This window comes from Homo sapiens, chromosome 3, assembly GCF_000001405.40.
Source record: "Homo sapiens chromosome 3, GRCh38.p14 Primary Assembly".
Lineage (NCBI taxonomy): Eukaryota > Metazoa > Chordata > Mammalia > Primates > Hominidae > Homo > Homo sapiens.
The window spans coordinates 140,628,775-140,655,942 of record NC_000003.12 but is presented as its reverse complement, the minus strand read 5'-3'; the positions used below and the strand labels follow the sequence as shown (position 1 = coordinate 140,655,942).

At 40.0% G+C, this 27,168-nt stretch overlaps 1 long non-coding RNA gene across 3 annotated transcripts in view; it reads left to right on the top strand.

The window, feature by feature from the left end:
* Positions 1-27,168, top strand: part of LOC102724068 (uncharacterized) — a 96,106-nt gene that overhangs the window by 22,061 nt on the left and 46,877 nt on the right. Inside the window, exons 3-4 of one of the 3 annotated variants that reach the window (XR_001740935.3) lie at positions 2,890-2,975; positions 19,592-19,712. The exons of 1 other annotated variant lie outside the window; for it this stretch is intronic. This is a non-coding gene — a long non-coding RNA (uncharacterized LOC102724068). Of the gene's footprint in view, positions 1-2,889; positions 2,998-19,591; positions 19,713-27,168 lie in introns of those variants that run through there. One more of the 3 variants, XR_001740934.3, reaches the window with a different exon arrangement.

Sequence of the window (27,168 nt, the reverse complement as noted above, 5' to 3'; positions counted from 1 at the left end):
CCAAGACTTCACAGAGCCCTGTGTAGCAGACCCAAGGCCCTAGTGGTGTGGGCTCATGAGGGGATCCCCTGATCAGTGGGTTGCAAAGCTCTGTGGAGAAGTGTGGTTTCCTGGGCCAGGCTGCACAATTACTCACTGCTTCCCTTGGCTGGGGGTGGGGGTTTCTTTGGCTGTGTGCCACACCTGGGTGGGCCATCACCCCACCCTGCTTTTCTTTGAGTTGTTTGCCTAGTCAGTTCTAATGTGAGAACCTGGATATTTCAGTTGAAGATCCTGGATTCACTTGTTTTTTCATTCCTCTCTGTGAGTGCCACAGACTGCAGCTGCTTCTAATTGATCATCTTGACCTCCAATCCCAAATTTTAAACCGATGACAAATTAATAATGAATGCATAAGAAAGCCAAAGAGAAAACTGATACAACTCTTTAAATTCATTCCACTGTTGTTTCTAATTATATTTTATTTTACTATTTCTTAAAGTTTTTGTAGTTATTATTTTTGATTGGTTCATCTTTTAGTCTTACTACTCAAGATATGAGTATCTTATATATCACAGTTATGGTGTTATAATATTCTATTTTTCTATATATTTAGTGAGTTTTGTACCTTCAGATGATTTCTTATTGCTCATTAATGTCCTTTTCTTTCAGATTGAAGAACTCCCTTTAGCATTTTTTTTGTAGGATGGGTCTGGTGTTGATGAAATCTCTCAGCTTTTGTTTGGTTTTTTTGTTTGTTTGTTTCTTTGTTTGTTTGTTTTGAGACAGAGTCTCACTCTGTTGCCAGGCTGGAGTGCAGTGGCGCGATCTCAGCTCACTGCAACCTCCGCCTGCTGGGTTCAAGTGATTCTCATGCCTCAGCCTCCCGAGTAGCTGGGATTACAGGTATGCACCACCACACCCAGCTAATTTTTGTATTTTTAGTAGAGACGGGGTTTTACCATGTTGGGCAGGATGGTCTCAATCTCCTGACCTCATGATCCACCCACCTTGGCCTCCCAAAGTGCTGGGATTACAGGCATGAGCCAGCGCACCCAGCCCTTTTGTTTGTTTTTATTTCTCCTTCATGTTTGAAGGATACTTTTGCCAGATATACTATTCTAGAATAAGATATTTTTCCTTCAGCACTTGAAATAGTCATGCCACTCTCTACTAGCCTGTAAGTTTTCCACTGAGGAGTTTGCTGCTAGACATATTGGAGCTCCTTTGTATATCATTTGTTTGATTTCTCTTGCTGCTTTTAGGATCATTTCTTTACCTTTGACTTTTGGGAGTTTGATTATTCAACGTCTTTGGGTAGTCTTGTTTGGGTTAAATCTGCTTGATGTTTTATAATCTTTTTGTACTTAAATATTTATATCTTTCTTTAGGTTCAGGAAGTTCTCTTTTATTATTATTTTGAAAAACCTTTCTACTCTTATTTCTCCCTCTACCTTCTTTTTAAGGCCAATAATTCTTAGATTTGCCCTTTTGAGGCTATTTTCTAGATCTTGTAGGCGTCCTTCATTTTTCTTATTCTTTCTTCTTTTGTCTCCGCCAACTGTGTATTTTCAAATAGCCTGTCTTCAAGATCATGAATCATTTCTTTTTCTTGATCGATTCTGCTGTTAAGAGATTCTGACGCATTCTTCTATATGTCAATTGCATTTTTCAGCTCCAGAATTTCTGCTTGAGTCTTTTAAATTATTTCAATCTCTTTGTTAAAGTTATCTGATAGGATTCTGAATTTCTTCTCTCTGTTATCTTGAATTTCATTCAGTTTCCTCAGAACAGCTATTCTGAATTCTCTGTCTGAGGTCACATATCTCTGTTTCTCTGAAATTGTTCACTAGTGCTTTATTTAGTTCATTTGGTGAGGTCATGTTTTTCCAGATGGTTTTGATGTTTGTGGATGTTCATTGGTGTCTGGGCATTGAAGAGTTAGTTATTATAGTCTTTGCCTTCTGGGCTTGTTTGTACCCATCCTTCTTGAGAAAGCTTTCCAAGTATTCAAAAGGATTTGGGTGTTGTGATCTAAGTCTTTGGTTACTACTGCCAGATCTGCATTAGGGGATGCCCCAAGCCCAGTAACACTGTGGCTCTTGCAGATTCATATAGGTACCATCTTGGGGTCTTGGGTAAGATCCAGTAGAAATCCCTCAATTGCTAGGCAGAGACTCTTGTTCTCTTCTCCTACTTTCTCCCAAACAAAGTCTCTCTCTCCATGATGAGCTTCATGGACTTGGTTGTGGGGTGATACAGACACCCCTGTGGCCACCACCACTGGGACCGTGCCAGGTTAGACTCAAAGGCATCACAGCACTGGGGCTCATCCAAAACTTACAGAGACCACTGCATGGCTACCACTTACGTTCACTTAATGCCCATGGGCTCTACAGTAAGCAGATGGCAAATCCAGCCAGGCTTGCGTCTTTCCCTTCAAGACATAAGTTTCCCTGGCCCAAGGTAGACCCACAGGTGCTGTTCAGGAGCTAGGACCTGGAGTCAGGAACCTTAGGAATCTAGCTAGTACTCTATTCTACTATTACTGAGCTGGCACCCAAGCTGCAAGACCAAGTCCTTCCCATTCTTTCCTCAAGCAGAGAAGTCTCTCTGCATAGCCACCACCACCACAGGCCCACGGTGAGCACTGCCTGGCAACTGCTGATGTTCACTCACATCCCAGAGGCTCTTTAGTTGGCCTGTGATGAATGCAGCCAGGCCTATGTCTCTTCCTTCAGAGAATTGGGCTCCCCTCTGGCCCAGGGCAGGTTCAGAAATACTGTCCAGGAGCCAAGGCCTTGAATCGAGGACTGCAGGATCCCACTGGGTGCTCTACTCCACTGTGGCTTAGCTGATATTATGCTGCAAGGCAAAGTCTCCTTCAATCTTTTCTCTCCTTTCCTCAAGCATAAGAAGCCTCTCACCCTAAACATCACAGCTGGGAATATGCTGGACCACAACTAAAGCCAGCATGGCACTGACTCTGACCAAAGGTGAGACCCAGTACTCATCAAGGTGAGTACAGCCTGTCTACCGCTGTTGGTTATTTCGGGCCCAAGGGTACTTTAGTTAGCAGATGATGAATCCTTCCAGGACTGGGTTCTTAACTTCAAGGCAGTGGGTCCCTTCTGGCCCAAAGTGTGTCTAGAAATGTCCTCTGGAAGCTAGTGTGTCTGGAATTGGTGGGTTCTTGGTCTCACTGACTTCAAGAATGAAGCCGTGGACCCTCGTGGTGAGTGTTACAGTTCTTAAAGGTGGCGTGTCCGGAGTTTGTTCCTTCTGATGTTCGGATGTGTTCGGAGTTTCTTCCTTCTGGTGGGTTTGTGGTCTCGCTGGCTCAGGAATGAAGATGCAGACCTTTGCGGTGAGTGTTACAGCTCTTAAGGTGGCATATCTGGAGTTGTTCATTCCTCCCGGGGGGTTCATGGTCTCGCTGGCTTCAGGAGTGAAGCTGCAGACCTTCGCAGTGAGTGTTACAGCTCATAAAGGCAGTATGGACCCAAAGAGTAAGCAGCAGCGAGATTTATTGCAAAGAGCGAAAGAACAAAGCTTCCACAGTGTGGAAGGGGACCCGAGCGGGTTGCCACTGCTGGCTCTGGCAGCCTGCTTTTATTCTCTTATCTGGCCCCACCCACATCCTGCTGACCTGCTGATTGGTCCATTTTACAGAGAGCCGATTGGTCTGTTTTACAGAGAGCTGATCGGTCCATTTTGACAGGATGCTGATTGGTGCGTTTACTATCCCTGAGCTAGACACAAAAGTTCTCCACGTCCCCACTAGATTAGCTAGATAAAGAGTGTTGATTGGTGTATTTACAAACCCTGAGCTAGACACAGAGTGCTGATTGATGCATTTACAAACCTTGAGCTAGATACAGAGTGCTGATTGGTGCATTCACAATCCCTTAGCTAGACATAAAGGTTCTCCAAGTCCCCGCCAGATTAACTAGATACAGAGTGCCGATTGGTGCATTCACAAACCCTGAGCTAGACACAGGGTGCTGATTGGTGTGTTTACAAACCTTGAGCTAGATACAGAGTGCTGATTGGTGTATTTACAATCCCTTAGCTAGACATAAAGATTCTCCAAGTCCCCACCAGACTCAGGAGCCCAGCTGGCTTCACCCAGTGGATCCCACACCAGGGCCACAGGTGGAGCTGCCTGCCAGTCCCGTGCTGTGCGCCCACACTCCTCAGCCCTTGGGTGGTCGATGGGACTGGACCCTGTGGAGCAGGGGGCAGTGCTTGTTGGGGGTGCTCCAGCCGCACAGGAGCCCATGGTGGGGCGGGAGTGGTGGGGGGAGGCTCAGGCATGGTGGGCTGTAGGTCATGAGCCCTGCCCCATGAGGAGGCAGCTAAGGCCCGGCGAGAAATCGAGTGCAGCAGCTGCTGGCCCAGGTGCTAAGCCCCTCACTGCCTGGGCCGGCGGGGCCGGCCGGCTGCTCCCAGTGCAGGGCCCGCCGAGCCCACACCCACCCGGAACTCACGCTGGCCCACAAGCACCACACAAAGCCCCGGTTCCCACCCGCGCCTCTCCCTCCACACCTCCCTGCAAGCCAAGGGAGCCAGCTCCGGCCTCGGCCAGCCCAGAGAAGGGCTCCCACGGTGCAGTGGCAGGCTGAAGGGCTCCTCAAGCGCGGCCAGAATAGGCGCTGAGGCCGAGGAGGCACCGAGAGTGAGTGAGGGCTGCGAGGGCTGCCAGCACGCTGTCACCTCTCACTAGGGCCTGGAATAGTGGCCTCCCAACCCCTCCTGGTGCCCTGCTCTACTGTGGTTGAGCTGGTATTCACGCTGCAAGACAAAGTCCTCTTTACTGTCTTTTCTCCTCTCCTCAAGCAGAAGAAAGGAGTTTCTCCCAGAGCTGTGAGCTGAGCTGTCTAGGGTCGGGGAGGGGTGACACAAGCCCTTGGTCACCCTAGCTGGTGTCTCACTAGGTCATGTGCACCCCAAGTCCAATGGCTTTAATCCCAGCACAGCACCAGGACTTGCCCAGGAATTGCAGACCTTGTGGCCTAGATTGCCTTTCAAGTTTAGTTAGGACCCCAGAGAACCTTATCTAACAGTAGAGGGGCTTGCCAGTACTTAGGTTTCAACTGCTGGGATAGACAATCTGCCTCTGGCTATGGCTTATCTAAATGATCCTTCTGTGGGTGCCACTGAGTTCTGCCCTGTGTTGCTTTCTGCTGTGACAGGACAGCACTGAGTTCCAATGCAAAATCCCACAATCACTTTGCTCTCCCTCCCCCAAGCACATACATTCTCTCTGTGTGCCACGCAGCTGCCGCCAGGGAATGAGAGAGGGGTGTGTTGCAGGTGATTCAAGACTATGTTTTCTACCCCCTTCAGTGCCTCTTTTCTTACTATGATGTTAAAAACAGGTACTGTGATTGCTCACCTGAGTTTTGGATTTTATGAAAGTGGTTTTTTTGTGTGTGTGAATAGTGGTTCAATTTGGTGTTCCCGGGCAGGGGATGATTGATGGAAATTTCTCTTTGGCCATCTTGCTCTGCCTCCCTGTAGTCTTGGCTTCCATTATTTCTGAGGAGAAATCTACTGTTAATCTTACTGAAGATTGTGTGTGATTCACTTCTCATGTGAGATAAGTAAATTCATTGCTTTTCTCTTATTTTTTCAAGTTTCTATCTGAATAGTTTGATTATGATGTGTCCAGGGTGAATATCTTGGAGTTTATTATTATGTTTTGAATTTGTGGAGATTTTTGATATGTAGCTTCGTGTTTTTCATCAACTTTGGGAAGTTTTTAGCCATTATTTCTTCAATTTTCTTTCTTCCTCATTCTCTCTCTTTTGTACTTCTATAATTACCGTATACCAGCCTATGCTAGTATGCTTGATGATGTCTTTTTTTTTTTTGAGATGGAGTCTTGCTCTGTTGTCCAGGCAGTGCAGTGGTGGGATCTTGGCTCACTGCAACCTCCACCTCCTGGGTTCAAGCGATTATCCTGCCTCAGCTTCCCAAGTAGCTGGGACTACAGGTGCGTGCCACCACGCCTGGCTAGTTTTTTCTATTTTTAGTAGAGGTGGGGTTTCACCATGTTAGCCAGGATGGTCTCGATCTCCTGACCTCATGATCTGCCCGCCTCAGCCTCCCAAAGTGCTGGGATTACAGACATGAAGCACCATGCCTGACAATGATGTCTTACATCATCCTGAATTTCTATTTTTTTTTAATGGACTGCTGAATTTCTTTTTTTTAATGTTTCTCTTTACTCATAATCTTTATTATTGTTCTTAGACTTTCATTTAGTTCTGCAGGCATAAATTCCTTTAGTTCTTCAATGTTTTTTAAAATAGTGAATTCTGAGTCCTTTCCTAGAAAACCAATGTCTGCACTTCAGGGATAATATATATTGACTGCTTGTTTTTTTTCCATGAATGGGCCATACTTTCTCTTTTTTTTCTTTTTTTGTATGTCTTGTAATTTTTTGTTGATAACGAGATGATATGGTTTGGTTCTGTGTACCTAGCCAAATCTCATGTTGAATTGTAATCCCCAGTGTTGCAGGTGGGACCTGGTGGGATGTGATTGGATCATGGGAGCAGTTTCTCAGGAATGGCTTAACACCATCCCCTTTGGTGCTGTTCTTGTGTTAGTGAGAGAGTTCTCATGAAATCTGGTTGTTTAAAAGTATTTATTACCTCCCCCTACTCTCTCTTCCTCCTGTTCTGGCCATGTGAAATCTTGGGTCTCCCTTCACCTTACACCATGATTGTAAGTTTCCTGAGGCCTCCCCAGAAGCAGAAGTCACTGTATTTCTTGTACAGCCTGCAGAACGATGAGCGAATTTTTTTTTAATAATTACCCAGTCTCAGGTATATATTTATAGTAATACAAAAACAGAGTAATAAGCCAGACATTTCAAAGATAATAATCTGAATTCTGGAATTCAAACTCTGCCTTCCCCAGGGTTAGTTGTTGCTGCTTATAGTTTTGGTTTGCTAGGTAACTTTCTGAACAAATTCTGTAAGGTCTGTATTCTTTTTATGTGTGGTCACTGAAATCTCTATTCTGTTAACTTAATGGTCAGCTAATGATTGGACATAGATTTGTTTAATGACTTGGAACTAAGAAGTCTTCTACTCTGAAACATTCAAGTTGGCTTTTCTCACATGTCTGCCACTTTGGCAGAGTTCATTCAAAGACTGGGTTCAGCTAAGACTGCCATGGTCTCTTTAGTTTGGTGGCCTCAAGTAATCAAACTTCTTATATGGCAGCTCAGGCTCTCAGGGAAAATGTTTTAAGGGATCTGTGTGACAGATACTAGGCATTTTATGACCTAATATTGATGTCTTACAACACCATTTCTGCTGCATTCTATTGATCAAGCAGTTACTAAAGCCAGACAAGATTTAAGGGGAAGAATTAGACTTTATAGACTTTATTTCTCAATATAAGAGTAGAATTTTTTTTCACTATCTTTAATCTGGTATAGTAACCATTAAACAAATAATTTTTAAATGGAAAAATATCTAAAATGGAGAACATAAATAGAGCATATAGCTTAAATATAGTCTTTGTATATATAGTAAAAATAAAAGTACAATATAAAATAATATGATAGAAGTAAAGCCAACAATACTGCTCAAATCAAACAACATAAATAGGCTTAACTCACCTATAAAAAAATTAAAGACTTTAATACAGCTCTTCAATCAAAGACTGATCAACTGTACAAACATTTGTAAGATTGTAAATCTAAAGAATATAATGAATACTTCTGAATCCTAGTAACAGACAACAGACCATCTTTTCAAATGCACATGAGAGAAGGGGTTGAGGAGAGCTAGAGTCAGAGACCCAGGAGTTTCCTGTGTCCAGTGGTGCTGGAGCTGCCTGAGATACCATGTTTCAGAACAGAGTAAGACCCCTGGTAAAGAAGAACTGAAGATATTGTACAGATATCAGATATAGTCTAATTACAAAGAAAGCACTAACTTGCCTCTGTGGTAACAGGGAATGGAATGGGCCCCAAGCATACTACAGCAGCTCTATGGAAAAGTGGCCAGATTGTTACATGGGTGCTCGTTCCCGTATCTCTTCACAAGGCAGGTCCTCCAGGCCTGGGCCTCCAGCCACCCCTCACCAGAGCTATTGAGCCAATAGCAACTTGGCAACTCCCCAGACAGAGAGCCTCCAGGGGCAACTGAAAGCCTGGCAGTGGAACTGCCCTTGCCACCCTTGTACTAATGAAGGACCAAAGACCCTAAGTGCCTTATCCATACCTCCAACAAGCTGCAGTCAACCCAAGGAGAAGTGTCCAGTCTCTCTCCCAAGGGTTCCCCCTGCCCCCTACTGCTCATCACAAGACAGGAAACCCCTGGCTTGGGCCCATAGAACAGACCCTCCATCCTAGGCTGATTGCACTGAGTGATTGCTGGCCTGCATCTCTCTGGGGTATGAGCTGCCAGGAGACACGCAAATGACCCTTGGACACAGCCACTACTAAGATCCCTTTCTCTACTACCTCCAAGTTGGGGAAGGGACACAAACACGGAGATCATCTCAGAGCTGCAGTGGGCAGCCCAGGAATGCCCAGTTACAATCTATAGCCATCACTCAAGGGAGAGAGGAACCCACACTTTCAAAGCTTTGGCAGGGAACATGGTTGCAACTGTGACAGAACATAAGGGAGCCACACAACCAAGTAAGAGTCTACCAACTGACCAATAAACCTAAGTTCCACCTGCTGAATCGCACCCTAAACCTTCAACACCAAAAATGCCTCACTAACATATCTTCCTTTGAATCCAGAGACAGAAACCAGCTTCAAATAAAGATCCTGCACAAAGTCTTGGCCCAGTCAAGACATCTGGAAAATAAGTGTATTGACTGTACTCAATCTACTCTGCAGTTAAAAAAAACACCCACATGCAGAGATGAGAAAGAACCAGTGCAAGAACTCTGGTAACTCAGATGGCCAGAGTATCTATCATTTGTCCTCCAAATAATTGTGCCAATTCTCCAACAGGAGTTCTTAACCAAGCTGAACTGGCTAGAATGACAGAAATAGAATTCAGAATATAAATAACAACTAAGATCATCAGGATTCAGGACGATAGGAAAACCCAATTCAAGGAAAATAAGAATCACAATAAAGCAATACAGGAGCTGAAGAATGAAGTAGTCAGTACAAAAAAGAAACTAACAGGTCTGACAGAGCTGAATAACACAATACAAGAATTTCACAATGCATTCACAAGTATTAACAGTAGAATAAACTAAACTGAGGAAAGAATCTCAGAACTTGAAGACTGGTGCTCTGAAATAAGGCAGCCAGACAAAAATAAAGAAAAAAAGAATAAGCAAAACCTCCAAGAAGTATGGGATTATGTAAAGAGGCCAAATCTATGAATCACTGGCATCCCTGAAAGAGAGGAGGAGAAAGCAAACAACTTGGAAAACATATTTCAGAATATCATCCATGAAAACTTCTTCAGCCTTGCTAGAGAGGCCAACAGTCAAATTCAGGAAATACAGAGAACTCCTGCAAGACTCTACACAAGATCATCCCCAAGACACATAATTATCAGATTTTCCAAGATCAAAATGAAAAAAATATGTTACAGGCAACTAGAGAGAAAGGACTGGTCACATACAAAGGGAACTCCATCAGGATAACAGCTTACCTCTCAGCTGAAACCCTACAAGCCAGAAGAAATTGAGGGCCTATCTTCAACATTCTTAAAAAAATCTTCAAGAATTACATATTCAGCCAAACTAAGCTTCCTAAATAAAGGAAAAATAAGATCCTTTTCAGATAGGCAAATGTTGAGGGAATTAATTACCTTACAAGAGATCTTGAAAGGAGCACTAATATAGAAAGAAAAGAACTCTATCAGCTAATATAAAAACACACAGACTTAGTGACACTGTAAAGCAACCACACAAACAAGCCAACATAATAACCAGCTAACAGCACATTGACAGAATCAAATCCACACATACCAATACTAACCTTGAATATAAACAGGTTAAATGCCCCACTTAAAAGGCACAGAGTAGCAAGATGGATAAAAAAGCAAGAGCCAATTGTAAAAAAGCAAGAGCCAATTGTAAATGCTGTCTTCAAGAGACTCATATCACATGTAATGACACTCCTAGGCCCAAAATGAAGGGATGGAGGAAAATCTACCAAGCAAATGGAAAACAGAAAAAAGCAGGGGTTGTAATACTAATTTCAGACAAAACATTTCAAACCAACAAAGAAAAAAGAGGATTAGATAATCATAGATGGTTCAATTCAATAAGACCTAACTATCATAAATATACATGCACCCAACACAGATTCATATGCACCCAGATTCATAAAGCAAGTTCTTGGAGACCTACAAAGAGACATACAGTCTCACATAATAATAGTGGGAGACTTCAACACTCCACTGACAGTATTGGACAGATCACTGAGGGAGAAAAGTAAAGATATTCAGGACCTAAACTTAACATTGGGTTAAATGGATCTGATATCTACAGAACTCTCCACCCCAAAACAATTGAATATACATTCTTCTCATCATCACATGGCACATACTCTAAAATCAACCACATAATTGGATATAAAACAATCTCAACAAATGTAAAAGAACCAAAATCATACCAGACATGGTCTTGGACCACAGCATAATAAAAATGGAAGTCAAGACTGTGAAAATTGCTCAAAATCATGTAATTACATGAAAATTAAACAACATGCTCCTAAATGACATTTGGGTAAATAATGAAATTAAGGCAGAAATCAAGAAGTTCTTTGCAAATAATGAAAACAAAAATACAACATACCAGAATTTCTGGGACACAGCTAAGGCAGTGTTAATAGGAGAACTCATAGCACTAAATGTCCACATCAAAAAGTTAGAAAGATAACAAATTAACCACTTAACTTGACAACTGAAAGAATTAGAGAAGCAAGAACAAATCACAAAGCTAGCAGAAAATGAGAAATAACAAAAATCAGAGCTGAACTGAAGAAAATTGAGACAGAAAAAAACATTCAAAAGATCGGTGACACCACACACACCTACAACCATCTGATCTTTGACAAACCTGACACAAACAAGCAATGGGGAAAAGATTCCCTATTTAATTAATTGTGTTGGGAAAACTGGCTAGCCATGTGTAGAAAACTGAAACTGGACCCCTTCCTTATACCTTATACACAAATCAACTCAAGATGGATTAAAGACTTAAATGTAAGACCTAAAACCATAAAGATCCTAGAAGAAAACCTAGGCAATACCATTCAGGAAACAGACATGAGCAAAGACTTCATGTCTAAAACACCAAAATCAATGGTAACAAAAGCCAAAGTTGACAAATGGGATCTAATTAAACTAAAGAGCTTCTGCAGAGCAAAAGAAACTATCATCAGAGCGAACAGGCAACCTAGAGAATGGGAGATAATTTTTGCAATCTATCCATCTGACAAAGGGCTAATATCCAGAATCTACAAACAACTTAAACAAATTTGTAAGAAAAAAACCAAACAACCCCATCAGAAAGTGGGCAAAGGATATGAACAGGCACTTCTCAAAAGAAGTCATTTATGTAGCAAACAAACATATGAAAAAATGCTCATCACTGGTCCTTAGAGAAATGCAAATCAAAACCACAATGACATACCATCTCATGCCAGTTAGAATGGTGATCATTAAAAAGTCAGGAAACAACAGATGCTAGAGAGGATGTGGAGAAATAGGAACGCTTTTACGCTGTTGGTGGGAGTGTAAATTGGTTCAACCATTGTGGAAGATGGTGTAGTGATTCCTCAAGGATCTAGAACTAGAAATACCATTTGACCCAGCAATCCCATTATTGGATATATACCCAGAGGATTATAAATCATGCTACTATAAAGACACTTGCACACATATGTTTATTGCAGCACTGTTCACAATAGCAAAGACTTGGAACCAACCCAAAAGCCCATCAATGATAGACTGGATAAACAAAATGTGGCACATATACACCATGGAATACTATGTAGCCATGAAAAAGGATGAGTTCATGTCCTTTGCAGGGACATGGATGAAGCTGGAAACCATCATTCTCAGCAAACTATCACAACTATGGAAAACAAAGCACCACATGTTCTCACTCCTAAGTGGGAGTTGAACAATGAGAACACATGGACACAGGGAGGGGAACATCACACACCAGCCTGTCAGGGGTTGGGGGGCTAAGGGAGGGATAGCATTAGGAGAAATACCTAATGTAGGTGATGGATTGATGGGTGGAGCAAACCACCATGGCACGTGTATACCTATGTAACAAACCTGCATGTTCTGCACACATACCCCAGAACTTAAAGTATAATAATAAAAAAAAGATCAATGAATTCAAGGGTTGATTTTTTTGAAAAAAATAATAAAATAGGCCATTAGCTAGATTAATAAAGAAGAAAAAATATCCCAATAAACACAATTAGAAATGATGAAGGGAATGTTACTACTGACCCCACAGAAATAAAAACAACCATCAGAAGCTTCTACAAACACCTCTACATACACACATTAGAAAAGAGATAGATATACCCACCCACAACTGAGTGGGGAAAAACTGATTCCCTGAACAGACCAATAACAAGTCCCAGAATTGAATGAGTACTAAATAGCCTGTGAACCAAAAAAAGCCTGGGATCTGATAGTTTCACAGCTGAATTCTACCAGATGTACAAAGAAGAGCTGGTACCATTCCTACAGAAACAATTCCAAAAAAATGAGGAGGAACTCCTCCCCAACTAATTCTATGAAATCATCATCAGCTTGATACCAAAACCTGGCAGAGACACAACAACAACAACAAAAACGTCAGGCCAATATTCTTTTTGTTTTATTTTATTATTATTATACTTTAAGTTTTAGGGTACATGTGCACAATGTGCAGGTTAGTTACATATGTATACATGTGCCATGCTGGTGTGCTGCACCCATTAACTCATCATTTAGCATTAGGTATATCTCCTAATGCTATCCCTCCCCCCTCCCTCCACCCCACAACAGTCTCCAGAGTGTGATGTTCCCCTTCCTGTGTCCGTGTGTTCTCATTGTTCAGTTCCCATCTATGAGTGAGAACATGCGGTGTTTGTTTTTTTGTCCTTGCGATAGTTTACTGAGAATGATGATTTCCGATTTCATCCATGTCCCTACAAAGGACATGAACTCATCATTTTTTATGGCTGCATAGTATTCCATGGTGTATATGTGCCACATTTTCTTAATCCAGTCTATCATTGTTGGACATTTGGGTTGGTTCCAAGTCTTTGCTATTGTGAATAGTGCCGCAATAAACATACGTGTGCATGTGTCTTTACAGCAGCATGATTTATAGTCTTTTGGGTATATACCCAGTAATGGGATTGCTGGGTCAAATGGTATTTCTAGTTCTAGATCCCTGAGGAATCACCACACTGACTTCCACAATGGTTGAACTAGTTTACAGTCCCACCAACAGTGTAAAAGTGTTCCTATTTCTCCACATCCTCTCCAGCACCTGTTTCCTGACTTTTGAATGATTGCCATTCTAACTGGTGTGAGATGGTATCTCATTGTGATTTTGATTTGCATTTCTCTGATGGCCAGTGATGGTGAGCATTTTTTCATGTGTGTTTTGGCTGCATAAATGTCTTCTTTTGAGAAGTGTCTGTTCATGATGTCCTTCGCCCACTTTTTGGTGGGGTTGTTTGTTTTTTTCTTGTAAATTTGTTTGAGTTCATTGTAGATTCTGGATATTAGCCCTTTGCAAGATGAGTAGGTTGCGAAAATTTTCTCCCATTTGTTATTCTTAATGAACATTGATGCAAAAATCCTCAACAAAATACTTGCAAACTGAGTCCAACAGCACATCCAAAAACAAATCTACTGTGATCAAATGGGCTTCCTCCCAGGATGCAAGGTTGATTCAACATACCCAAATCAATAAATGTGATTCATCACATAAAAAGACAGAAACCACATGATTATCTCAATAGATGCAGAAAAGGCTTTTCGTAAAATTCAACATTCATTAATGTTAAAAACTTTCAATAAACTAGGTGTTGAAGGAACATACCTCAAAATAAGAGCCATGTATGACAAACCCACAGCCAACATTATATTGAATGGGCAAAGCCTAGAAACATTCCCCTTGAAAACTAGCACAAGACAAGGATGCCCTCTCTTACCACTTCTATTCAACATAGTATTGGAAGTCCTAGCCAGAACAATCAGGCAAGAGAAAGAAATAAAAGGCATCCAAATATGAAGAGACGAAGTCAAACTATCTCTGTTTACAGATGACATGATTCTGTATCTAGAAAATTCCATAGTCTTGGCCCAAAAGCTCCTCCAGCTGATAAATAACTTCAGCAAAGTTGAAGGATACAAAATCAGTGTACAAAAATAACTAGCATTCCTTTACTCCAACAACAGCCAAATGGAGAGCCAAGTCAGAAAGGCAATCCCATTCCAAGTGCCACAAAAAGAATAAAATACCTAGGAATACAGCTAACCAGGAAGATGAAAGATCTCTACAATGAAAATTACAAAATATTGCTCAAAAAAATCAGAGAAGACACAAACAAATGGAGAAACATCCCATGCTCACGGATAAGAAGAATCAGTGTCATTAAAATGGCTATACTGTCCACAGCAATTTACAGATTCAATGCTATTCCTATCAAACTACCAATGACATTCTTTATAGAACTAGATAAATTTATTTTAAATTTCATATAGAACCAAAAAAGGGCCCAAATTGCCACAGCAATCCTAAGCAAAAAGAATGAAGCTGGAGGCATGATGTTACTCAACTTTATACTACAAGGTTATAGTGACCAAAACAGCATGGTACTGGTACAAAAACAGGCACGTAGACCAATAAAACAGAATAAAGAGCCCAGAAATAAGGCCACACTTCTATGACCATCTGATCTGTGACAAAGCTGACAAAAATGAGCAGTGGGGAAAAGACTCCCTATTCAATAAATGGTTCTGGAATAACTGGCTAGCCATATGCAGAAGATTGAAGCTGGACCCCTTCCTTACACCATATACAAAAATTAACTCAAGATAGATTAAAGACTTAAATGTAAAACCCAAAACTATAAAAAAAAAAACCTGTAAGACAACCGAGGCAGTATCATCCTGGACATAGGAATGGGCAACTATTTCATGACAAAGACACTGAAAGCAATTGCAACAAAAGCAAAAATTGACAAATGAGATCTAAATAAACTGTAGAGCTTCTGCACAGCAAAAGAAACTGTCAACAGAGTAAATAGACAATCTACAGAATGGGAGAAAATATTTGGAAACTATGCATCTGATAAAGGTCTAATATCCAGCACCTATAAGGAACTTAAACAAATTTACGAGAAAAATCAACCCCATTAAAAAGTGGATAAAGGTCATGAGCAGACACATTTTAAAAGAAGACATACATGCCACCAAAAATCATATGAAAAAAAGCTCAGTATCGCTGATCATCAGACAAATGCAAATCAAAACCAGAATGAGATACCATCTCACACCTGTCAGAATGGCTGTGATTAAAAAGTAAAACAATAATAGATGCTAGTGAGGTTGCAGAGAAAAGGGAATAGTTATACACTGTTGGTGGGAGTGTAAATTAGTTCAACCATTGTGGAAAGCAGTATGGCGATTCCTCAAAGAGCTAAAAGCAGAACTGCCATTCAACTCAGCAATCTCATTGCTGGGTATATACCCGGAGGTGTATAAATCATTCTACCATAAAGACACATGCACATGAATGTTCATTGCAGCACTAGTCATAACAGCAAAGACTCCAAATCAACCTAAATGCCCATCAGTGACACATTGAATAAAGAAAACGAGGTATACATGCACCATGGAATACTATTCCACAATAAAAAAGAAAAGGCACATGTCTTTTGTGGGAACATGGATGAAGCTGGAGGTTGTTATCCTTAGCAAACTAACACAGGAACAGAAAACCAAATACCATATGTTCTCACTTAAAAGTGGGAGCTAAATGATGAGAACTTATGAACAAAAGAAGGAAAGAACAGATACTGGGGTTTACTTGAGGGGGGAGAGTGGGAGGAGGGAAAAGAGCAGAAAAGGTAACTATTGGGTACTGGGCTTAATAACTGGCTGATGAAATAATATGTACAACAAACCCCGGTGGCATATGTTTACCTGTGTACCAAACCTTCACATGTACCCCCAAACTTAAAACTTAAAAAGCAAAAACAAATGCACATGAGTCATTCATGAAAATTAACCATATTTTAGCAATCAGAGAAAACCTCCATAAATTCCAAGGAGTAGGAATAATATTTTCTGGTCACAATGAAAAAATTAATGAAATTAATGCTGGAAAGGAAATATCCAAAGGATCTTCCTCCCAGGAACTTAAAAAAACATATATTAAGTAACATTTAGATCAAAGCAAAAATGCAAAAAAAATTGCATAATTTATTATAGATAAAATAATAAAAGCATGACCTATTATAATCTATATAAAGCAGTCTTCAAAGAAAAATTTATAATATTAACTATCTTTATCAATAAAAATAAAAAGTAGAAGTGAGTTAAGACCCAATTCAAAGAGCCTGTAAAAGAACAAGGTAAACAAAGAGCAGAAGGAAGAAATTAATAAAGATAAAAGCAGAAATTAATGCATCAGAAAACTTCTGTCGACAAACAAATGACAAATAAACTAAAAAGTTTATTCTTTGAAAAATAAATGAACTGCATTGTCAAAACACCCACATATCTAGCAGAAAAAAAATGGAGAAAGTGTAAATACGCAAAATAAAAGTGACATGTAATAATCAAAACAGAAATTCTAAAAGATTATACTGGACTATTGTGTACAACTATGGAAACAAATTAATTGTGAAACCTAAATGAAATGGACATTTTTTAAGAAAAATGCAACTTGCCATATTGATCCCAGCAGTAATAGAAAGTCTAAACAGACCAACTGTCATAGAATCAGTAGAGAAAATAACAAATGAGCTCTCCCACAAATGGGCGCCAGGACCAAATATTTTTTGACAGGGAATTCTGATAAATCTTTAAAGATTTGAGAAACCCATGTGCAATAAATACTGTATTAAATATTACAATGTTATAATAAATATTAAAACACAATAACTTTTCATTTCAAACAGTATTGGTAGTGGTAAAATAATAGACTGACTGCTAGAATAAAAAAATTCAAATAGACCAAATTGCAAATGGAAATTTAATGTCTGATAATGATATCTTTTCAAATCAGTGATGGAAAAGGAGTATTTAACATATGGGGTTAGGAGGACTGGATAGACTTATGTATAAAAACAAAATTGGATCCATTTCTCATACTATCCACCAGGGAAAATTCTGAAAGGATCAGAGATTTAAATGTGGTTAAAAAAAATCTTATAAGTAATAGAAGAAAGCTTGTGTTAATTGCTTTATTACCTGGGATTGGGGAAAAACTTTCTAATTATGACACAAAATACAAAAGCAATAAAGGAAAAAGATTGATAATGAAAAACTGATAATTACAACAACAATTTTTTAAAGGACAGAGCCAGCAAAAAGAAAAAAAGAAAAAAAACACCCACAAGAATACCAACCCCACTAACAAAGTAGAAAGACCAATAAAAAATTAGAAATAATTTGTGGCCTGCATCATAGGCAAGGATTTGATTTCCTTAACATCTTGAAAGCTTCTTAAAATTTTAAATGAAAAAGATCAAGACTCCTATAGAAAAATGAGCTAAGAATATGACAGTTTACAGAAAAAACATAAATGGCCTGTAACTGTATGTAAATGTGCTCACTTTTGCTCATAATAGAAATGCAAAATAAAACTAGACTGAGATAACATTTTTTGCCCATCAGATTATCAAAATTCAAAAAAACTGTGAACACACTCCATAGCGAAACTCAGGGAACAGGCGTTCCCATACATTACTGGTGAGAATGTTATATGACACAAACCCTATTAGAAGGGAATTTGACATAACTCTCTAAATTACATTTACCTGTTGACTTAACAATACTATTTCTGAGGATCTTTCCCAAAGATACATGGACAAAAATAAAAATCATTTATTGGATGATTATGGCATTATTTGTGCACAAAACTAGAGACAATCTGAATATGCATCAGTAGGAACTGGTTATATAAACTAGGGTGCGTCCACACAATGGTGTCTACTGCAGCTATTATAACAACAAGAAAAACCCCTGTCTAGCATTCTAAACTGGTTTTAAAGATATATTATTGAGTGAAAAAAGCAAGGTGTAGAAATGTACATATAATATGCTACCATTCATCTCAGTAAACATCTTAGGTCTCTGTTTTATATATTCATATGATATGGAAAGATAAACCAAAAGCTTAGATTTATGATCAAAGGTGGGAACAGAGTGGAAGGGACTGCATATCTCAACTTAAAGAAGTGGTTTTAAAATCATCAAAATATTTTACATAATTATAAACAAAAGTAAAAAGAGCAATTGTAAAAAAAGCAAAGTGAAACAAATGAGTGTAAGTACAAACTAAGTTGGTGGGGAATTATTTCAAGTTAGTTTAGAGCGCAGTAATTTTACTGTACATCTCCAGTGGGGTTTATCCCTAAAAACAAATAAAACAAAGATAATTTAAAAATTATTTCAGTAGTCATATTGTTAGGGGTAGTGTTATTCTGAAAGTGTTGTGCATGTATTATACAATAAAACAAATGATGAATTATGTTGATGTCAATGTGAATCAGAATTTTTGACATAGAAAGGACAGACCGATGGGCAACTCCTGAAGTCAGGAAAATCTTATAGTCCTGAATTTGAGTCTGAAATATCAATATCAACCCACGATGTATTTTATCTGGAAAAAAGAATATTTCTAACACTGGCCACATAAAAGGCCCAGAGACCATGACTTACCCAGTAGTAATGGGTCTCGTTTTTTCCCCAAAGTAGTCTCTGAGTATGACTAAAAGGAAGTAGGGCATTTTGGAGGAATGAGTGATTCCCGATCTGGGCAGGAAATGTAAGATAAACAGTAGAACAGGAAAAACAGCACTCCAGCAGGGCAGGGTCAGGTGTGAAGAAATGAAGCCAAATGAGTGGGTATAGTGATGCTGTGGTGTGCTGCACAGTTACCTTTGTAGGACTGAGGCACTCATTCTCTAATTGCTTAGAGTGTTGGCTGCTCATAGGTCACAGCTGAATCTTTCGCTGGGAATTGCTTTCAGAGGAGGGAAGCTGCCTTCTTGCCCAGGGTTACTCCCCTATTCAGGGAGCAGCCCTGCCTAAATTGAGACAACTTTAAGGGCCGCCCACGCTAGTGAGGAGGTCCTTGAGGAATTGGCTAAAGTTTACAGCTGTAACTATATTACAGTTTAGCTTTTTCCTATGTCCAGTCCTGTTCAGCACATTCCCCAAGAGCACTCCCCAGTAATCTGTCCAGTCCTGTTGGCCTCATTCCCCAAAAACACTCCCCAGTAAACTTGGGTGCAAATCTCTCTCACACAGTCTGTTTCTTGCAGAACTTGGTCTAAGAGAATGAGTATGGGAGCCATCTGGCTTACTGCCTTATTCTCCATATAAGGTAATATCTGTTTTTCATCCCATAGGATTAGCTTCCAGGGGTCCTAGCAAGGTGCATCACAGTGTCAAGAATGCACTGCATTCAGAGAAGTTCAAACTATGGATTCCCACCAGGCATTTATAATTCATTGACAGTTCTCCCAGAGCAGGTATAGTTTAGAAGTCATTTTTACCATAGGAAATGTTGCTTGGTAACATAGCTGACATTCCACCTTTACTAGGTTTCCAGGGAAACCGATATAGAAAGTTAAATCAAGGTCATTTTTCCATAGAGAAAGAGCACGAGTTTTATTAACCCTCTGTTCACATTTAAAATCCATGAGTTCATAAAGATAAGTGAAACAAAGATCCCAACAACTCTCACTAGAAAACAAATTCTATTATAATTATTTGAGAGGGGGTCTTACTCTGTTGCCCAGGCTGGAGTCCAGTGGCATGATCTCTACTCAGGCTCAAGCGATCCTCCGACCTCAGCCCCCCCAGATAACTATGGGCACATATGTCAACATGTCTGGTTAATTTTTAATCTTTATGTAGAGACGAGGTCTCCGTATACTGGCCAGGCTCATCTTGAACTTGGGTTCAAGTGATCCTCTCGCCTTAACCTCCCAAATTGCTGAGATTATAGATGTCACCACCATGCTTGACCAACTAATTCATTATTTTTAAACCTGGTAAATAAAGGAAAAGAATAATTTATATAGACTTTCTTATAGGAACTGCAGCTCAGGATAATGAATGAATTGATAAAGGGAATTTCCTCTTGATAGAAGTATGCCAGCTAATAAGTGAAGGGCAGAATTAAAAAGTATCTCCCCTTTGCCGCTTCTACTGAAAAGAAGAATCTAGACCAAGATCATCAGTGACTGCTAATAGCGCCAAGGGGAGACAATTAGACATTATGTGCCCCCTGATGGAAGTACACAATACTACCTGTAGTATTCTTGCAAAAACGTCTAACCTGAATCTTACCAAGCTTCTAGATCTAAGTACCAATTTTTGGGGACAGAGGAATAAGCTAAATAATATTGTAGTGACGCAATTTTCAAATTCCAGATTGTGGAAATCTCTGCGGGACAAATGGCCTGGTTTCTACAACAAAGTTATTGACATGGGGGGTTGGAGAGAGAGAGAGAAGGGGAGGGGAGCAGGGACCAACAGAAGGACAGAGAGACATGGATACGTGAAGAAGGGAATGCATAGATAAGAGAGACCTGAGAGACAAGAGGCATATTAACCAATTATAATGCATAAAACATATATATGTTGATTTGAACAATGTGTAAATTTATGATTCAGTTGAGCAAAATTAAACATTGAAAACCCCAGGCATTCTAAGGAGAGACACCTGGCCGACCCCAGGCATTCTAACAGGAGAGACTCCTGGCCAACCTCAGGCATTTTAGCAGGAGAGACTCCTGGCCATCCCTAAGCATTCTAATGATAGAGACACCCAGATGACCTCAGGATCATGAGGAAGAAATTATTAGTTTTTTCAGATGTGATTATGATATTGATTATGTTATTTAAGAGTCCTCTGTCTTAGTTCATGAGGTAAAAAAGAAAACTAAAAAAAGTCTTCAACTTTTGGAGATACAGACAGAAATATTTACAGATAAAGCAATAAAGTAATCTGTTCTTTTTCCTTCCAAAATAATCTGCACTGTAGGGAAATGGATAAAAGATTAGAGGTAACTGGATTGGACATAAGTTGATAACTGCTGAAACTGGGCAATAGAGTTCATTACATGTTTGAAAGTCTTCATTATAACAACTAGAAGCATATATACATTTAATTTTTAATATGATAATCTCACTCCAGGGAATCTATTTATAGATATCACCCCAATAAAAATGTTTTATGTAGCAACACTAACAACAAAAAACCGACCAATAAGCCCAGGAAATAAACACCCAACAATGGCATAAGGTTGAATAAATGATGATGCATTCATACCATGTAGTCAATAAAAAGAATAATTTAGCGTCAAACCAGTTTACCTGAAGTTTTCAGGAATATTGCTGAATGAGAATAGTGAGATGCACATATGTATGCATGAGATCCTATTAAAAAAAGAAAGACAAAAACCCTACATTTGCACATTTGTATATGTGAGGGTGCCCAGAGGGTTATTAACATGGGTTGGGAAATTGTTTTGGGTAGATAGTAGGGAGGTGAAGCTGCTGAAAAACTTTAGTAAAAATTAAAGGAAGCCATGGTGTGGCCCGTGTTCTGCGGGCCATGTTCTCTGGGTATGGCCAGAGTGCGAGCTGTCATGTCAGGCTGTGTTTCAGTCCTGCTTTGCCATTTGCCAGGGGTGACACAATGGAGAGGTTAGCAGTGTTCACAGAGCACCTACTGCATGCCCAGCCTGGCCTGGGAGCTCGCAATACACAAGTGAAGATGCCACTCCTTCTTCTGAGAAGCTGCTGTGCTAAGGTCAACATTTTAAGCACAGGATGCTACAGGCATATCACTTAATTTTATGAGCCTCAATTCCCCCATTTGTAAAATGGTGTTACAATATCTGCCTCACAGGGCTACTATGAAAATTAAATATGTGCAACATGAGTGTAGCTATACCTTCTTGGATCACACTCCTCTCACTATTAGGACCAAACATGTTATTATTGTCTCCAGGGGTAGGAAGATGGGTAGTTGAAATAGGTAAGGTGGGGTGTGGTTGGGGGAGAGTCAGAGAAAAGTCTGAGAGCTAAGGCATAAAAAAGTAAGGCAGAATTTTATGATTGTTTCTTGAGAACACAAAGGAGGCAAATTTTTTCATTTATTAATTTGAAAATATTAATTTAATGTTTACTATGTTATACAAGTTTATTTTCTCACAGTTCTGGAGGCCAGGAATCAAGTCAAAATGTGGGTAAGGCCATGCTTCCTCTGAAGGTACTAGGAATGATCTGTTCCAGGCCCCTTTCCTAGCGTCTGATAGTTCTTGGTTTGTGGCAGCACAATTTTAACTTCTCAAGGTTTTCTCCCTGTTTGTGTGTCCATCTCTGTGTCCAAATTTCCCCTTTTCATAAGGACACCAGTCATATTGGATTAGGGCCACTCTTTTCCACTATGACTTTATCTTTCCTAATTATGTCGTCAATTACCCTATTCCCAAATAAGATCTCATTCTGAGGTACTGGGGGTTAGGACTTCAACATATAAATTTACATAAAAGGAAAGGACATTGAAATGCTCAAGTGGGTGGGTGGGTTGCAATCTTAAATAGGGAATTCAAGGGGGGCCTCGTTGAGAAGGGGACACTTAAGTGAATGAAGGCTTCAGGAAGTAGAGAGTGGGCCATGTGTCAAGCAGAGGGAATAGCCAATGCAAAGGCACCAAGCTGGAGCAAGCTTGGGATTTTCCAGGAACAGCAGGGAACCAGTGTGGCTATAGCAGAGAGAAAGTGAGGGAAGATGGGAAGGCAGGGACCTGGTTGAGATCGTGTGGCCCTTGGAGACCTGTGAAGAACTTTGGCTTTTACTCTGAGCATAATGGGGAATTATTTGCAGACACTAGACAGTAGAGGTATGATCTGGTTTGTGTCTTGAGAAAGGTCACTTTGGTGGTGAGTTTTAGAATACATTGTGAACGGGTGGGGAAGCCATTAGGAAGCTAGGGGTGTGATCTAGACGAGAGATGACTGAGACAGAAGAAAGAGGTGAGACTTTCTGGGCAATGTCTTGAGCAGGGTAGTAGAGATGGGATTTGCTGCACAAATAGAGGGATTGGCTTTAAAAAGCCATGGCATGGTACCGGGCCTCTGAAAATATTTATAATTTCAATTCTTTCCGATTACTGCAAATTTAAAGAACATAGCAAAATATCTGGTGGACAGAAGGCCCTCAATAAAGGTCAGTTTCTTTTCTTTCCCTTGTATTCTTAAGTCTGTCTCACCCTACACTTCTCCATTCCCAATCACTCATCTTAATCTTTGCTGGCTCTTTAATCGTTAAAGAGTGTAAATTGTTGTTGGCTTAAAGCAGTACATTTTAAATTGTCCTCTGAGGAATCCTAGGTATTTGAGACAGTGCCGTGGGGCCCAAGTGGGGGTCAAATAATGGCTAACTGGAGGGATCTTGAGCTGTCTCTGCCCAATCCCCAATTCATACAGAAACACTTATACCTGTGGTTTGTACAGGGCTTTATCTTTTTTAAAAAATTGTTTCTACTTTAAAAAAATCCATTGTCTTAAAGCATTCCTCCTGTCTGAGATATTTTAAACCTTTTAAAACCAAATAAATTAGTCTTTAATGGTCAAATTTTAGATCCTGGTTCTGCTAGTTTTACTAGTGTTTTTCATATAGGCTTTTCTACTTTATCAAATAATAATGATGATGATGATCACCAATATTTGTTGAGGGCTAAACTTGCTCTTGTTTAGAATCCTGCCTAGGAAATTGTAAAGAATGAAGCTACACATAAAGTCATAGATCCATACAGGCATAGAAAGTAAGAGGTTGGAGTACCCTTTTAAAAATTCTCATTTCACCCTCTCAATTTATTAACAAAATAACAGAGGAATGTTGACTTGGTCAAAGTTACCCAAGAATAGCTGAATCGAGAATCCAAGTGACTTGTGTCTCAGGTCACCAGTTTTCCCATTATATGCTGCTGGGAGGCAGGTGTCCTTAGATTAGGATAGAGAGTGTCATGATCCAGCTTTTGAAACAAAAGGTAGACACGGAGTATGTACTGAAGACATTTGATGTGACATTTACCATCCCTGGGAGTTCAGGTTTACAAGCTCCACCACATTTAAGAGCCCTTTAAACTCTCTAATTGCTCATTTATCTGATGTTACACAAATAGTCCCCACAGATACAGACTGACAGGTAAACAGCTTGTTGAGAATTTATTTAAAATGATAAACTAACATAATGCATCTTCTCTTGAGAGAATTACCAAAAGCACAGGATTGCACTGCAGTTTGCAGCCATATTTCTTCCATAGTCACTATTGGCTGTGACCTTCTAATTTTCTTGGGGAATGTTTCATTCCTTGATCCGTGAATTACTGCACTGTAAGCAAACCTGGCAGATCTTTTGGGAACAGAAAGATTAGGGCAACCTGGTGAAGGTAAAAAGAAAACACTCTGGGTATTGGCCAGATCTGGATGGAAATCCTGCCTCTGCCTCTTATATCTGGCTTTCTATGGGCAATCTCTTCAGCTCACTATGCCTCAGTTTTCTCTCAGTAAAATGGGAATTATAGTAACATCTACCTCACTGGATGGTTGTGAGAGTTAAATGAGCTAAGTTGATACAGAAGCCTTCCCCCCAACATCTCTGACTCATGCTTCCCAGCTTCTCCTTGTACTCTGGTGATGGAGAGCTTCTTTCTTCTGCCTGAGGAAGCTCATTTCACTTCCCACTTGGGAGATCTCTCTTTTGGGAAACTCTTAAGTTGAGTGAATATGTGGTAAAGCTCAAGGAAACATAGAGTCACTTGGGAACTATATCCCAGTATTGGGACCCAGGTTCTTTGAAGTGTTGCTTTCTTTTTATGAAATCATTTTATTTTTATTGACCAATTTTGGGGGACATTTATGCTCCCAAACGGTGAGCCACGTTTCTTTCTAGGACACATTCCCCTGTTTAATTTACAATAAAAGTTTTTTAAATTCCAAAGGAAAATAAGCAATTTCTTAATGGAATTAAGTCAACAACGTATTTACTTTGTATTAGCTCTGAGCTAAATGCGAACTCTCAGGTTTTTCTTGTGCTAACTGCATGAAAAGGAGCATCAGCCTTATTATTCATAATGCTCATTCTGTGACATTCCTGAGTTTGCTTAACACTATTTCGTCAGTGTGATTACTTTGAACAATCTGAGTCCTTGTCAGTACTGCATGACTTGCTTTTATTAGGTAGAAGGGGTTCCACTAGTTGGGTTCTAGACATGGACACTTGTTGCAGCAACACAATTTCCCCTTGATAGTTAAGATTAATCGTCCCAGGCAGAAGAAGAATCGACTTCTTTGCCTGTTGTAACCCTAGCATGCAGAATCCAACATGACTGGGTCTCAGTCTTGACTTCCAACTCAATGAAACCATTGTTGTGTCACCCAGTGACAATATTTCTCTCTTGGGATCTAAGACTTTTTAAAATAGTAGAGCCTGAAAGTATAGGGACAGGAAGTATCAATTCTTCAAGTTGAAAGGGGCTATTCCTACTTCCATCTTTTGATTCCTGGACCCATGTACACTAGTTTTGGGGGAAACAGTACCATATGTTGGACATAGATTCAACAACATCTTTTAGGATAGTACCCCAACCTTGCAAGTATTGTTTCCCAGCTGGCTCTGTAATGAGTCTTCAGCAAGCTATTCTATGATTCTATCAATCTAGCGATGGGGTATGTGGTAAGACCAGTTGGAATTCCATGAGCATGAGTCACTGTTATGTTTCTTTTGCTGTGAAAATGAGTTATTTGGTCAGAAGCAATATTGTGAGTGGTAAGACAGTGAATAAGCATTTCATACATCCGCAGATGGCAAAGGGCAGAGTAGGCTGATTTGCATTCTGTAGAAAGGCCTATTTAATAGTGGAGAGAAACTGTTGCTCCTCTGTGATGGAAGAGATCCACTGTAATTAATGTGCCACCATGTGACTAGATGGTTTTCCAGAAAATGGCACCACATTGGGCTTTCAGCATTGATCCCTGCTGCTGGCAAGTTACTACTCAGCAGAGGTGGTAGGCAGATTAGGATTGATGGGTGGAGGCCCTTTTTGAGTTCATACATAGCCTCCATTCCTGAGTGGGATGAGTGAGCAATCACATAGGACACAAATGTACACAACTCATCCCCATTTGTAGGGGTACACCCACATACTCTCCCTGCAGACCTCCCTGGGGAAAGACATATTTTTCTTGTTCTTTTCAAACACCATCTGTGTAGCCAAACCATTAGCCACTGCCTGTGAATCATTGTAGACCCGAGTTCCTGATAATCTTATCCAGACAAAGTAGATGACAAAATGTGCTGCTCAATGGTCTAGGAGGGTCTCTCTTGACTACTATTTTTTGAGATACTCCTGATTGGGGTTGAACTTCTGCAGCTGCCACTTTCAGTTTGTACCAGCATATTGTGCAGTAATATCTGTAAATCAGACCTAAGTTTTTATTATTTGTCAAATGGTCATACAGATTTTCTATGATGCTGAAGGTTTGAGATGAGGGAGAGGTAAAGTGAGAGTCTCAGCTACTTGCTCATGGAATTTACTTGTGCCCAAAGGACCTGTTCAAAATAGATCTTGTATATACCATTTTACATGATGGAGCTGCTGTACATACCTAGTCTTATGGCTTTACCAAATGGACAAAGAACAGCTCATATCTGGTCATTTGATGTTTCACAGACAGGTATTCATTCTCTCCTGGTGTATAAGCCAAAAATTCTCTCTCAACAGGTGTAACAGTTAACATAACTACATAAAGTGGTCGCGGCCTTGCTTCAAAACCCTAGAATCTTGTGCTGTTATTTATCCTCTTTTAGGAGAATTCGAGAGGCTTTATACAGTATTTTTCTTGCCTTAGATATCTCAAGTACTATTGTGTGTTTGGGGTCACGTGATCTAAAGGCAAAACAGCTT